The following is a 14,056-nucleotide window of genomic DNA, read 5'->3' on the forward strand; positions in this document are numbered from 1 at the left end:
TGGATATTTGGGGGTAGATTTAAATATCCCTGGTGGTTATACTAGCTTGCTTAAGCCCACCCTTGGATGCAGTCATATTATTAGATGTATTTAACATGGTAGACGATCACTCTAAAACATTAGAATATAATTTGTATTTCTGCAGCTCTTCTGAGACTTGTAGACAGGCACGTCACCCAGTGGATGAGCTCTATCACGACACCGTCTCCCTATTTGGAGAAATATTCTGCAGCGTATTTACTGACCAATATTTGCTGAATACCTGTTGTTTACTAGGACTTCGCTAAGTATTGGGCATCCAGGGATGTGAGTGGAGAGTGTCGGAGCTCCTGCCTTCCCTCGGTGGACCTGAGCTCCTCGTGGGGAGGACCTGCTTTGTGGGCCTGTGCTTTGCTCTCCAGGTGTCTGGCTGGCACAGTGCTGGCATAACTATTACTGCTTGGAGCTGCCCCTTTTCCACTGACCCCACAAAGCCTCTGGTAGGAGTGTAGTTGGTGGTAGAAACACGGAGTTGGGAGCCAGGAAGGCCTGAGTGAGGGGCTCGGCCTCAGCCACCAGGCTGGGAAACTTGGCCACGTGCCCTCGTGGCTCCTGGGCCTCCGCCTGCTTCCTGTTGGGCATGATGACCCTGTCTGCTCTCCATGTCTGCAGGCCAGGGACATGTATAGGGCATCAGTTCCATGGTACGGCATGACAGTAGTGACCATCCTCATGCTGCTTGTGGCTGCTGCCCCTGCTGCTCTGAACCCACTTGTAGAACAGAGATGTGCCCTGCTGGGCCCGGGGCGTGGCCTGGGATCACCTGCCCACTTGCTGTGTTCTCTCTGCTGGGTGCTTCAGTTTTAGTAACTTAATAATTATCCCTATATGTCACATAGTGCCATCTGTGTGATAGAATTTATGTATCAAGAACCCAGGCCTAGGAGCGGTGGCTCACGCCTGGAATCCCAGCGACTTCAGAGGCTGAGGCAAGAGGATCGCTTGAGCCCAGGAGTTTGAAGCTTCAGTGAGCCATGATCACGCCACCACACTCCAGCCTGGGCGACAGAGCAAGACCTTGTCCCTAAGAAAGATGCCAGGATAAATAAGTATTATCACTACAAAAAATAGGAATAGGAAGCATCAGCTGTGGTTAAAAATGCAAAAGGGTAAAGCTTTATTCATTAACTGCTTTAAAGCGGGACTTTTCCCTTCTCTTCTGGTTTAGCTTTATTCAGAAGCTGCCTCTGCTGAAGTAGCTCTGGGTTACTGATAATTGCTCATGGTTGTGGGGTGCATCCACCATCTGGAAATATCAAGAACTGAGGATTCTAGAAACTGGATTTTAACCCCGTTCTCTGCTCTTCAAACATTAATCATGTTGGGCTGCGGAACCCACATAATGAGGACGTTACTGCAGACGTAGTTCCCTGGGATATGTCACATTGGAGGTGATTTTCTTGTGTCAAGATTATTTTACTACATATTTATTTTTGGTTTGTGACTTTCCCCCTTACTGAAGTAAAACAGTTTCCTTTCTCCAAAGAGTTGGGAATGTAGCAGCTTGGCTAAGCATACAAACAAATAGCAAGTTACAATTTAAAGCCATCTGGAAAGGTTACCAATGAGTTTTGTCACATGTATAGATAGTGCATAAATCATCATCAGAAGGGAATCTGGTGATATGTAGCAGAAGCCACCAGGGCCTGCTCCACCAGGGAGAACGCGGAGCAGCAGAGTCAGCGGAAGGAGTGCCAGTGCGTACACCTCCTCTCTGTTTACAAAGCAAAGCTGCTTGTAAGAAGTGCGCTTGAGGAAAGAGTGCATTTTACATTTCATCACTTCATCACTCTGTTTATTAAAATCTTTGTTGACTTGATATATACATTCAGAAAAGTGCATGTATCAAAAGCTCACTGATTTTTTTATACACTGGAAACACTTGTGTGAAATACCACTGAAGGATTCACTTTAAAATGGTTGTGTATTAATGCAAATTTCACCTCAACAAACAAAAAAAGCCCCAGAACTCAAGCAGCCCCGCAGAGCCCCCTTGAGCTGCATTTTGTTGGAAGTGTCGGGGTGGAATCACCAGGGTCAACGGTTTCCCATTTCCACTCCCGCTGGCACGTCCGCAGACCCCTGCCGGTCCCACACGCACCCCAACGCTTGCTGTCTTCTCATTTCTGCTGGGTGGGTGGTAGTATGATATTGTGGCTTTACTTTGCATTTCCTTGATGTTTAATGAACCTGAGCACCTTTTCATATGCTTCTCAGGCATTTGAAGTTTTATAATAGTTTTAAATAGGGGTCTTTTTTCCTTACATGAAACTTTGATGAGAGTGATCATTTCTTTTTTATTCCCCAACCATGATCCAGTTCAGAAAACATCAAGGACCTTGCTGCCTCTCCAGGAAGTGTAGCAAAAGGCACCTGCCTGCTGTGCTGGGGAAGAGCAGTGGGCCAGGTTAGCCCCCTGTCCCTGGTGTGCTACACTTACAGGTGGGCATTGGGCTGAAGGACTCTCTGGCCCTTGCTGTTGGGTCGGGGATGCAGTCAGAAAGGAGCATGAAGGGCATCTGTCCCGGCAGGGCCATGTGGCCAGACCAGGAAGGGCTGCTCAAAGAAGAACAAAGGCTTCTCTGCCCTGATGGAGATGCTGACACCTTCAGAAAGACGTGTTTGTGGCATCGGCGTCATTTCTTTCTGTGGCTACCAAGGCCGAGAACTTCTCTGTGCTCCACCTCATGGCCAGGGTTCTTACAGCCGCAGGCCTTCTGTGTGCATTAGCTAGCTAACTTGTTTCTTCTTTCATTCATCCAATAAGTATGACTAAACTCCTGCAGTATCTTCAGCATCGGCAATTCCACACTAAATAAGTAAAACCCTTGCCTTCACAGAGATCGAAAACAAACAGGAAAACTGTAATGTCATGTTGGGTGTCTGGAGCTGTGGAGAGAAATGAAGGGGGCCCTGGAGAGCCATGGCTGTGCCAAGGCCAGGGTGGCGTCCTGGAGAACCTGCCTTGGAGTGGAGTGCTGGATCTGGGGAGGGGGGAGTGCTGCTGGGCATTTCATGGACACATAGGCAGGAGGTGGGCAGGAGCACTGAGAGCAAGGGGGAGATGGGAGAGGGCAGGGGCCTGGTCAGGGTCTCAGGGCCCTGGGCGAGGAATTTGAATTGCAGTCCAGGTGAGAGGGATGGGAAGGACAAGGCTTTCAGTGAGCTGCCTGGGCTCTTAGAGAGTGACCCTGGCTCCCTCATGGAAAAGCAGCCATCTGGCCCTTGAGTTCAGCACCTCTCCAAGCTCCTTCCTGTCCCTAGACTGGCAGGGACTTCCAGGGACAGCCTTGGCCCCCTTTCCGCTCTGCCTTGCCATCTCCCATCGCTTGTCATCGCTTCTGTGTTGGGTTTGCCCTCTGGTCCTGTTCCCTAGAGCCATGCTCTGGTCATGAGTGTTACAGGGCCAGGGCAGGGCCTGTCAGGGGAACAGAGTGCAGACCCCCTCTGTGGGCCCCTCTGGGCCCTCGCATCCCACTGCCTTGGAGAGGAGAGAGCAAGATAGAAACAGGTCCTGAGATGAGGTGGCGGCATACAAGCTATCTCACACTTCTGCACCCTTCCAGGTGCGTTTCTGAAATGCATCAATGCTGTGAGATCTACACTGACTTCAGGGATGTGGCAAACCCCCTATTTCTTGTAACCAGCCAGCGACAGTCATTGTGGAGCCCTGCCTGTGCCCCAGGCAGCCCTGTGCACTAAGAAAGCCAGGCCTGGGAGACACTGACTTGTCGTTTGCCTCCAGGCGTTTTTAGTTGTAACAGACTAGTTCTTGTTTCCCATCACCTAGAATCTGTTGATCTGTCTGGATCTTAGTTCCTGAGCCTCCTGCTCTGCAAGACGCACCCTGCACATGCACGCTCACGTGGGGCACACACACCCAGGTGCCCATCATGCCAGCAGGTGCACAGTTGGAGAAATCGACTCCCCAGACCAGACTCCCCAGAGCGCGGGGAGCGGCCAAGTGTCCTCGCACAAACTGGGGTGGAATTGATACAGGGGCCAGGGAGGTCCCTAAACACTAGTGGGACCCTGACCCTAGCCAGCATCCAGGCTCTTGACACTGTTGTGAGAAGGATTTCAAGGATGAGTCAGAAAACAGTGAAAGTACAAAGATTTATTGCAGAGTGAAGAGTACACTCTTGCAAAAAGAAAGTGTGGGGGCAGACTCAAGAGAGCCACAGAATGGGGTTTGGGGCTGCTATCTTTATGGGTTTCTTTAACCGAGGGGTGGAATATTCATGAAAATTCCTGGAAAAAGGTGGAGATTTATTGGAATTGTGGTGCTACCCATTCTTTCTTTCTTTTTTTTTTTTTTGAGTTGGAGTTTCACTCTTGTTGCCCAGGCTGGAGTGCAATGGTTCGATCTTGGCTCACCACAAACTCTGCCTCCCAGGTTCAAGCAATTCTCCTGCCTCAGCCTCCCAAGTAGCTGGGATTATAGGCACACACCACCACACCTGGCTGATTTTGTATTTTAGTAGAGACAGTGTTTCTCCATGTTGGTCAGGCTGGTCTCGAACTCCTGACCTCAGGTGATCCTCCCACCTCGGCCTCCCAAAGTGCTGGGATAACAGGCATGAGCCACCGTGCCTGGCCCAGTGTCACCCATTCTTACACCAAATAAGGGTGTCCTGGAACTGTCATGGTGTTGGTGGTGTGTGATTGAGTGCGTCAGTGAGCAGATAATGAGGTCCGAGGTGAGACCTAGCTCAAATCCAGCTCTGCACTGGGTCCGGTCAGTCTTAGCCAGCTTGGTCCACACCCTGTTTTTCAGGGTCAGGGCCTAGTCACCCTATAGCCTCCAGTTATATGAAACTGTTGCCTGGAATGTGTATTCTTCTGTGACCACCTGTATTATTCCTGTCACAGAATCGTGACACAGCAGCAGCCCTTTCCCAGTGTGTGGGGCACAGTTACATTCCTAGGTGTGGAAGGAAGACCTTTGCTGCATTAAATTATCCCCAGCATCTGTTTGCTGCTTTTAACACGAGTGACTTAAAGGGACATGGGTTAGAAGAAGGAGGGAGGAGATTTGTGCCAGGGATGAAAGAAAATGGCTAAAAGATGAATGAAAGTTGCATATATCTCTTTTTCTTCTGTAAATAACTCATGATAAAAGGGAATAAAATTTAGGTTTTCCCCACTTGGAAGAGACATGGCCAAACGGAGTGTGTGCTTTTCCTAAACCACCGTGAAGGTAGCATGAAAACCAGGCTTGCTCTTCAGAGACTAGGAGGCTCCTGTTTTGGGCACTCCATCTGCCCTGCTGCCGTGAAAGCTCTCGGACCCAAATGGCTTCCTGTGATCCACTGTGGTCTGCTTATTATATTCCCTTCAGCTATGTTTATAACTCTGTCAACAGCCACAGCGTGAGTACCCCAATCGGATAACAATAACCTAAAATTTTAAATGCTCAAAAGTCAGAAACATTTTAAGTGACAATATGATGCTCAAAGGAAATGTCCATTGGAGCATTTTAGATTCAGATTTTTGGATTAGGAAGGTGGATGTATAATAGAATAACTGGTAAGTATAATGCAAGTTTTCAAGATCCAAAAAAGTTCAAAATTCGAAACACTTCTGACTCCAGGCATTTTGGATAAGGGATACCCAACCTATATTATGAAGTGGTAGCAAGAAAATTACATTGAAATGGAACATTTTTTCAGTTTATGTATCCTTTTGTGAGGTTTTTATTTCAAAATATCACAGTCCAAGCCAAAAAATATACGTGGGTGTTTCAGTTTATGAAAACTGTAAGTTATGTTTACTTTTCTATATGTATATATTTTTTTACCTCAATAAAATGATAGCCCCAAACTCTCTTCAACCTTACCTCATCTGTGGTTTATAGACGTTTCCAGGGGAAGTTTTTTAAAATGATGTGTTCCAGAAAGGAGTAAATGGAATATTAAAAGCATGCAGCATGGCCCATTCTGGAGGAGGGCCAGGCTTGTCAGGGAGATGGCAGGATGTGCATTTTTGCACATCCTTGGCTCATTGGCATGGCAGGGAGAGTCCAGCTAAAGCTTCTGCACCCCCTGTCCCCTTTAGATCTGGGCCTCTGTCTCTGGACGATATTCTGTATCTCCAGCCTGAACCTCTCAGATGTTGGAAATTAACCTCAGAGTGAATCACTGGGCTGCCATAGGGATTTAGTTGGACACAGTGGGTGGCCAAGTCGTCTCTGCTCCTCTTCATGGTAGTGGGGGCTGCTCTCTACCATCTAGACCCACCCTCATGGGAAAGGCCGCAGACCCTTACTCAGCCTGTGGGACACCAGGCAGAGTCCCTTGCAGCTGATGGTGAGCTGAGGTGCACTGTATTTCTGCCACAGGGATTTGTTAATGATTTACTTTAAATGTCCACCTGCAGGGTAGCTGGGACGATGAAAGCATCCCAAGACCTCCCTTTTCCATCTGTGGCTGATCACCTCTGGAACCCACAGCTAGCCGGCTGCTCCTCCACTATCAGATGGCGGCTGTCAGTCATGGGCTTGTCACCGAGTGCATCCGTCATGCTCGGGCCATGGGCCGGCACCTGTGTGTGTGTGTCCAGCTTAACGACAGAGATTTTTGGAAAGACGCCCTAAGATAGACATACTTGAAACTGAGTGAGAATAAGTTTGACTTATTTCTTTTTGAGATACTTTATATGTTTGAAATAATTAATAGCTGGCGCCAGTGAATCTAGTTTCTGTCTGTTTCCTTTAAAGATTATATGTAGTGTTGGTGATTGGGATTTAGTAAGCTATATTGAAGATGCTAACGTTTGATTTTATAGCAAAAAAAGAAGCATTTGTGTGGAGCAAGGACGTTTGTATATGAGCAGTCATAAAGTTAATGTCAAGTGGCCCGGCAGGGACTTTTACACCCATTTTACAAAGAACAAGACCCAGAACTAGAGGCCAGGAAAACAGATCTTCTGTTTCTCACCCTGGTACTTTTCCCATCAGGTGACAGTGTTTGGGTCTGCACCACGTCAGGCCAAAGCTTTGCACGTTGGTGCTGTCTGATAATGAAATTTGCAGAACACCACCGGGAGGCTTGCATGAATTGGTGCGAGGAAAAGTAGAGGCGCTTCCATCATTCAATTGATGGATGACTATGAGGCTGACTTTATTGTTCCTAGCACTGAAATCCTGTTTTTCTTGGGTATAATGAATACAGTAGCATGGTTTATGCTACCTTCATAGAGTTTTTGCCCCCCACTGAAAATGCAACTTGTCATTCTCTAAGATCCATGCCACCAAGACCCAAGACACCAAGACAAGACCGATTCGGGCAAGTCTAGCTAGAAACAGGCCACGCTCTTGTCCCCAGAATGGCCAGGACACCATCAGGCCTGAGGGGCACAGAGGAAGGATGCGAGTGGCCTGCCACAGGACTCATCCACCCCAGTGCACGGAAAGGTGAATCCTGGATTTCTCCCCTATTCCCGGGCTGTTGATGGGATCTCATCTTTGTAAAGTTTCTTCTGGTTCCGAGTTGCCTCTGCCGGAAGGGACGTCCTTTCACAGCCCAGCATTGCTGTAATCCGGTGGAGTGGCTGCAGTATTAACAGATGGAGTTGGTCCTCCCTTCCCCCCCGGGTCTGAATCTGCCTGCTCCTGTGCGTTCACTCTTCCTGCAGTCCAGCTGGGGAGTAGCAGCTCCTTGGCAAACACCTTCTTCTCCAGCCCCGTAGAACGCCTGGCCTCATCAAAAAGGCCACAGGATGGCCAATGGGCATTGTCAGACCCTACTCAGGAGTGGGATCTCCACTGACTGGGGCGGCCCTCCAGCAGGTGTCCCAGGGCCTTAGATCCCTCCAGAGAAATGGTAGCTGCTCAGAAGATGGAGCTCTCCTGGAAACTCCTGAGTCACCTGGGCAGTGGGGTGCCCTGGGAGCACCAGGTCATGCCATACCCCCCTTCCTCATTTTCTCCATCCCCACAGCTCCACTCTTCCTGCCTTTCCCTTGAAAATGAGTGTGGCAAATAGAGGAGAACGGGCTGGGTGCAGTGGCTCACACCTGTAATCCTAGCACTTTGGGAGGCTGAGGTGGGAGGATCGCTGTGCTACCAGCCTGGGCAGCATAGCAAGACCCTGTCTTCACAAAAATAAAAATAACAGTAGCTGGGCATGGTTGTGTGTGCCTGTAATCCCAGCAGTTTGGGAGGCTGAGGCAGGAGGATCACTTGAAACCAGGAGATTGAGGCTGCAGCGAGCTGTGATTGCACCACTGTACTGCAGCTTGGGTGAGAGAAAGATCTTGTCTTAAAAAAAAAGGAGAGGATCAAAACACAATCCTTTATCTTCTAAACACCTTGACATATTGCCTACAGCCAAGAAGTTACATTGTTTTCAAGCATTTAAATGCCATTTCCACAAGTCTGCTCATACTGGGAAAGTGTATGTCCTCACCCCAAGGCCAGGCTGACACCCTGGTTCTCCTTTTTAGTCGAGTGAGTCTGTCTTTCTTTTTCTATTTTTTTGCATGACAGTTCTATGTAAAACATGGTCATGAAGGGACTTGTTAAATCATGGAGTCAGCTTTTAGGGCTAGAAAAATTGAGAGAAAATTTACCTTCAAAAAAGTAGGTTGTGGAAGCAATGATCACTAGAAATATTTTATGGAAAAACAAATCATGTTTCCTCTTTTGCACTGTGCACCCCTGAGGCTTCCGGCTTTGGTGTTGCTAAGGTTCTGAGAAGAATGCTGTTCTTAGCTGGTCATCGCTTTATATGCTTTGGAAATATTTTCCAATATTTGAATGGCATCGTTTCATTAAGGCATAGGACACCGTGCCTGACTGGTCACATAAGAGCTTTTCTTCTTTAAGCAAGGAACCAAGAGGGGTGGAGATGAAATGATTTTTTTCCTCCCATCTGGGGCTCAGAGTTGGACATGGCCTCTTTACTTCATCCGTGGCTGGGAAGAGGGGCACAGAACAGCAGAGGGAGGCGGTCAAAGCCCAGCCGTGCCGTCCCTGCCTCCAGCCCCGTGGTCCTTGTCCAGGACCTCACTCAGCCCGTGGGCCCTCTGCTTCCTCCCATCTGTGTGCGGGGCCACCCAGGGGGTCCCCGCTTCTGAGAATCCCTGGCAGGGCCCAGCATGGAGGCGTGTGGTCCAGGCATGGTGACGCGGTGCCGCAATCCTGCCTTATGGTGTGGAGGCCGCCTTCCTGGCCATCCCACAGTGCCTCCTCCTTCCTGGGCTCGGAGCACAGCTGACAGCCAACATGACCTCGACATGAGTTTGGGGAGAAGGAGCAGGGCGGTGGTGATGGCTCTGCTGAGAGGAGGCATCATGGTTGACAGGTGGAAAAGGAAGGTGCAATTAAATATTGACATTCACTGTATCCCAACCTGCTGTCTAGCTTGTCTGACACAAAAGCATATATTCACCGAGAGAGGAAATAAAATCTTCATTCAACTTCTGCTTCAAGGGACATCAGTTAAGCAAAAAATAAAACAGCTTCAGGAAACATATTCATTTCCAGCAGTCTCAGGTGGAGAACTGAGGAACTGGAGTCTAGAGGCTTTTTCCTGATGAGTTCACACTGCAATGTGCCACCGAAACTCTAAAGCCCTTGTCTCAAGCCTACCTCTGAGTTTCATAAAACAAGTCAGATATATCTGCCCTCATAAGACATCTTCGCATTTGCCTGTTTTATAGAAAATATACATTGAGGCTGGGCATGGTGGTGCACACCTGTAATTGCTGCAGTTTGGAAAGCTGAGGTGGGAGGATCCCTTGAGCCCCAGGAGACTAAGGCTGCAGTGAGAAATGATTGCACCACTGCACTCCAGCCTGGAGACAGACATATTTAATAATATAATATATTATTAAAAATATGTATATTCAGTGTATATATACACATACACATTGAATAAATGACACAGTGGGAATTAAGGAAGTTTGGGTGCCCCTAGCGCCTCCCAGGATGAAGGCTTTATCAATGAATTACTAAATGATTGTTCACGAAGTCTTCAACAATGGTCATTTGTAATTCACCCTCTCTTCCTATATGTGTGGTCCTTCAAGGCCGCTTTTTCCTGTTGTTACACTAGTGAGAGGGAACCGAACGGGCTCATATTCAGCTTAAGGCACAAGCGAACCCCGTTTGCCTTCAACCCTGAGACCCGCCTCCCAGCTTGGCAGTTAGGGTGGCCCTTAAGGTCTCATTTGGCATCAAGGAGAGATTTCCAGTCTGCCAAGTTTTCACAGTGAGTGAATCATTGTCTGAGAAAATGACCTCTGAATATACATATATGGGACTATTCAGAAGGGCTATGCAGCAGGATTCAGAGGAAAGACTATTAAAATTCCAGTGTACACCAGTAAATCTACAGTTTCATCATAAATTACAATCAGGAATCATTTTGTCTCATGGCCTCGCTCCCTGCGTGGGGAGGTGGTTTCAGTTCCAGGGCCAGCGAGGCGAATACGGTGCGGGGAGGGCTCTGAGAAAGGAACAGAACCCAAATCACTTTCCTTCTTTAGTTGACGAATCTCAGGGCTTAAAATGCTACAAACAATTGAGATTGTAAATGTATCTCGTCTGTTTCTCTGAGCCTGCCTTCAGTCAACAAATGTTTTCTATTCACCAGCCTAAGAAGCAGCTTTGGTGCTGTCCCTTGCGGGATCCCACTTAGTTATCTTTTAGAGGAAATACCAAGGCATATTTCCCCCATTCCTGAAGTATAAGATGGTGTCACTAATACTGTGGCTTAGTAAAATGGGAAGAAATACACTGAGGATTCTGAAATCTTCCCTCAGCTGCCTTGAAGAATTGGGTCAATAACCTTTAGAGTGGTGAAGATGGCTCAGGAATAGATTAATAGACTCACAAATTCTAGAACAAGAGAAGACTTCAAAGGTCGTAGGGCCCAGCCCTGTCTTTTGGAAGTCGAGTTACTAATTTTGTACTGAGATGGCGACTGAAACTCGGAGGATTGTTTCTCTGCCTGGATCATACGGCAACGTCACCAGCACTGCCACTGCGCAGTGTTCAGAGAGCGCGAAGACCTCCATCACCTTCTAGCTCAGTCGGGTCGCCTCGGCCTCCAGCTGCCGGGCCCTTGTGGAGTTTCTTCCCACGGATTTTTCATCCTCCCCAGCTCCCCAGGCCCCTTCTAAACCCTGTAATACACTGCAGGTTCTTCTGGCGCTCCCACCACCCGCCTGGCCTCCCTTCTCTGCCTCGAGGAGATTTGGCTGCGTATAGAGGAACAGGGAAGGTGAGTATGCAGGGGACAGGTACCAGCTGTTTGCCATGGGTACCAGTGAGGGCACAGGAGGAAGTGAGTGCTGTGGTGGCTTTGGAGATTAGGTTAATCATAAGGAAATAAATCCTGAGTCGTGGAGACTGTCAGGAAATCGTGTGCGTTGTTCAGGAAGATGGTGGAGTCTGTTCCTCTGGAAACACAAAACATCCACCTTAAAAATGTGGCGGCCTTACTTGCCCAGAACAATTTTAGTGGGGTCTGGCCTGAAGTCAGGGGGTGGATTAGATGACCCCAGTCTCTTCTTGATTCTATTAAAAGATTTTCAGGGGATGAGGTTTCTACAGGCAATAGCACAGTCTAATGCTTAACAAATCTTTTGTTGAAGATTTTTAATACCATCTTTTCATCTGACCTAAATCTTTCGTGTGGAAGTTGAGCCATGTCCCCTGTGGAGAGGAAGAACGGAGGAGATCGAAATTCAGCCTTTAAAGTACCCAGTTAAATTTAGTGTTTCGAATTAGGGAGACTCAAGCATCAGCACCGAACTGGGTCACGTCATTTGATGTTTTCCGAGAGGAGGACACCACAGAAATCTGACTCTTGGTTCTGGTATCAGAGTCAAAGTCCCCCATACTCGAGGTTAATAAAGGGATTGGGAGGTGGGAGGGAAAGGGTGTGATTTCAAGGTTTGTGGCAGTTACCACAAAACCACTGCATTAATGCAAACCAGAATTAAAACCACATAGTATAAAATGTCATGCCCACACGTCTATTTGTCCAGCAAATCTCAAGGCAGCCAGCCCGAACCTGGGCACCCCAGTGGACTTGAAGACAGGTGAAGCCAAGCAACCTCAGAATGAGAACTTCCCCATTAATAACCTTTAAACATGACCTTTCATTAGCTTAACAAAACCTAAGAAATGCGCATGTATTCAAGAAAAGCAGTAAGTAAGATGAATTACTGTGTTTTAAGCCATAATGTTCAATTAATTAGTAATTTCCATCCAGCCTGCTGCCTGACTCATAATGAGCATTCTCTAGTCTAAATAAAGTGGAGACTGCTTAGTTACAGAGCATTTTATTTAGCTTCCTTTTATTTCAACTTAAAGAAGGGTTCTTTTTATTTTTTAGAGATGGGGTCTCACTCTCTCACCCAGGCTGGAGTGCAGTGATCACAGCTCCCTGCAGTCTTGACTTCCTGGGCTCAAGCAATCCTCCTGCCTCAGCCTCCGGAATAGCTGGGACTACCGGGACATGCCACCATGCCTAGCTAATTTGTTTGTTTTTTTTGTAGAGACAAGGTCTCACTATGTTGCCCAGGCTGGTCATGAACTCCTGGCCTCAAGTGATCCTCCTGCCTCGGCCTCCCAAAGTGCTGGGATTATAGGCCTGAGCCACTGGGCCTGGCAAAAGGGTGGCTCTTGTAGTGTTTTTTTTTTTTCCTTCTTTTTTCACATGCCTGCTGTGTCAGTCTTGTAATGTTTTTAAAAGGCTGACTACTGTGTATTTTTAACCCTTTTTAATTATTACCATTTTTCAGAAGTAGTTCACTAAGACTTTGTAAGAAGGTGCAAGTGGCTTTCATGCCATAATACCAGGTCAAAACACATATGGGGGAGCCTTAATTTTCTTTTATGTGAGGAAAGCCCTCCCTTTGGGGAGGAAAGAAGGCTGACTTCTGAAAGCCAAAGCTACAATGGGAAGAAACACTTTGTTAGCTGGGAGTGAGGAGCCAGCGAAAACGACACCAGAGAATCCTTCTTCCCACACACGTCCCGCCGTGGACACTGGAGAATCCCTCTTGCCACACGTGTCCCACTGTGGACACTGGAGAATCCTTCTGCCCACACACGTCCCGCCATGGACACTGGAGAATCCTTCTCGCCATACACGTCCTGCTGTGGACACTGGAGAATCCTTCTGCCCACACAAGTCCTGCCGTGGACACTGGAGAATCCTTCTCCACACACGTCCCGCCATGGACACTGGAGAATCCTTCTCGCCATACACGTCCTGCTGTGGACACTGGAGAATCCTTCTGCCCACACAAGTCCTGCCATGGACACTGGAGAATCCTTCTCGCCACACACGTCCCTCTGTGGACACTGGAGAATCCTTCTCCACACACACGTCCTGCCGTGGACACTGGAGAATCCTTCTCCACACACACGTCCTGCCGTGGACACTGGAGAATCCTTTTCCACACACACGTCCCACTGTGGACACTGGAGAATCCTTCTGCCCACACACGTCCTGCCGTGGACACTGGAGAATCCTTCTCCCCACACACATCCCGCCGTGGACACTGGAGAATCCTCCCCACATACGTCCCCAGCCATAGACACTGGAGAATCCTTCTCGCCACACACATCCCGCCGTGGACACTGGAGAATCCTTTTCCACACACACGTCCCGCCGTGGACACTGGAGAATCCTTCTTGACACACGTGTCCCACTGTGGACACTGGAGAATCCTTCTCGCCACACACGTCCCACTGTGGACACTGGAGAATCCTTCTCCCCACACACGTCCTGCTGTGGACACTGGAGAATCCTTCTTGCCACACGTGTCCCACTGTGGACACTGGAGAATCCTTTTCCCCACACACGTCCTGCTGTGGACACTGGAGAATCCTTCTTGCCACACGTGTCCCACTGTGGACACTGGAGAATCCTTCTGCCCACACACATCCCGCCGTGGACACTGGAGAATCCTTCTCCCCACACACGTCCCGCCGTGGACACTGGAGAATCCTCCCCACACATGTCCCCAGCCGTAGACACTGGAGAATCCTTCTCGC

General features: G+C 48.4%; 1 protein-coding gene across 48 annotated transcripts in view, besides 2 other annotated features; it reads left to right on the forward strand.

The window, feature by feature from the left end:
* Positions 1–14,056, forward strand: part of LDLRAD4 (low density lipoprotein receptor class A domain containing 4) — a 435,073-nt gene that overhangs the window by 267,133 nt on the left and 153,884 nt on the right. The gene's annotated exons all lie outside the window — the stretch shown is intronic.
* Positions 8,594–9,123: an enhancer, noted in NCBI's record as "H3K27ac-H3K4me1 hESC enhancer chr18:13493407-13493936 (GRCh37/hg19 assembly coordinates)". NCBI's record gives its function as "activates a minimal SCP1, AML or CMV promoter by ChIP-STARR-seq in primed H9 embryonic stem cells {active_cell/tissue: H9 hESC(primed)}" and the evidence as "EXISTENCE:reporter gene assay evidence [ECO:0000049][PMID:30033119]".
* Positions 9,124–9,651: an enhancer, noted in NCBI's record as "H3K27ac-H3K4me1 hESC enhancer chr18:13493937-13494464 (GRCh37/hg19 assembly coordinates)". NCBI's record gives its function as "activates a minimal SCP1, AML or CMV promoter by ChIP-STARR-seq in primed H9 embryonic stem cells {active_cell/tissue: H9 hESC(primed)}" and the evidence as "EXISTENCE:reporter gene assay evidence [ECO:0000049][PMID:30033119]".

Source organism: Homo sapiens, chromosome 18 (genome assembly GCF_000001405.40).
Source record: "Homo sapiens chromosome 18, GRCh38.p14 Primary Assembly".
NCBI classification, from domain to species: Eukaryota; Metazoa; Chordata; class Mammalia; order Primates; family Hominidae; genus Homo; species Homo sapiens.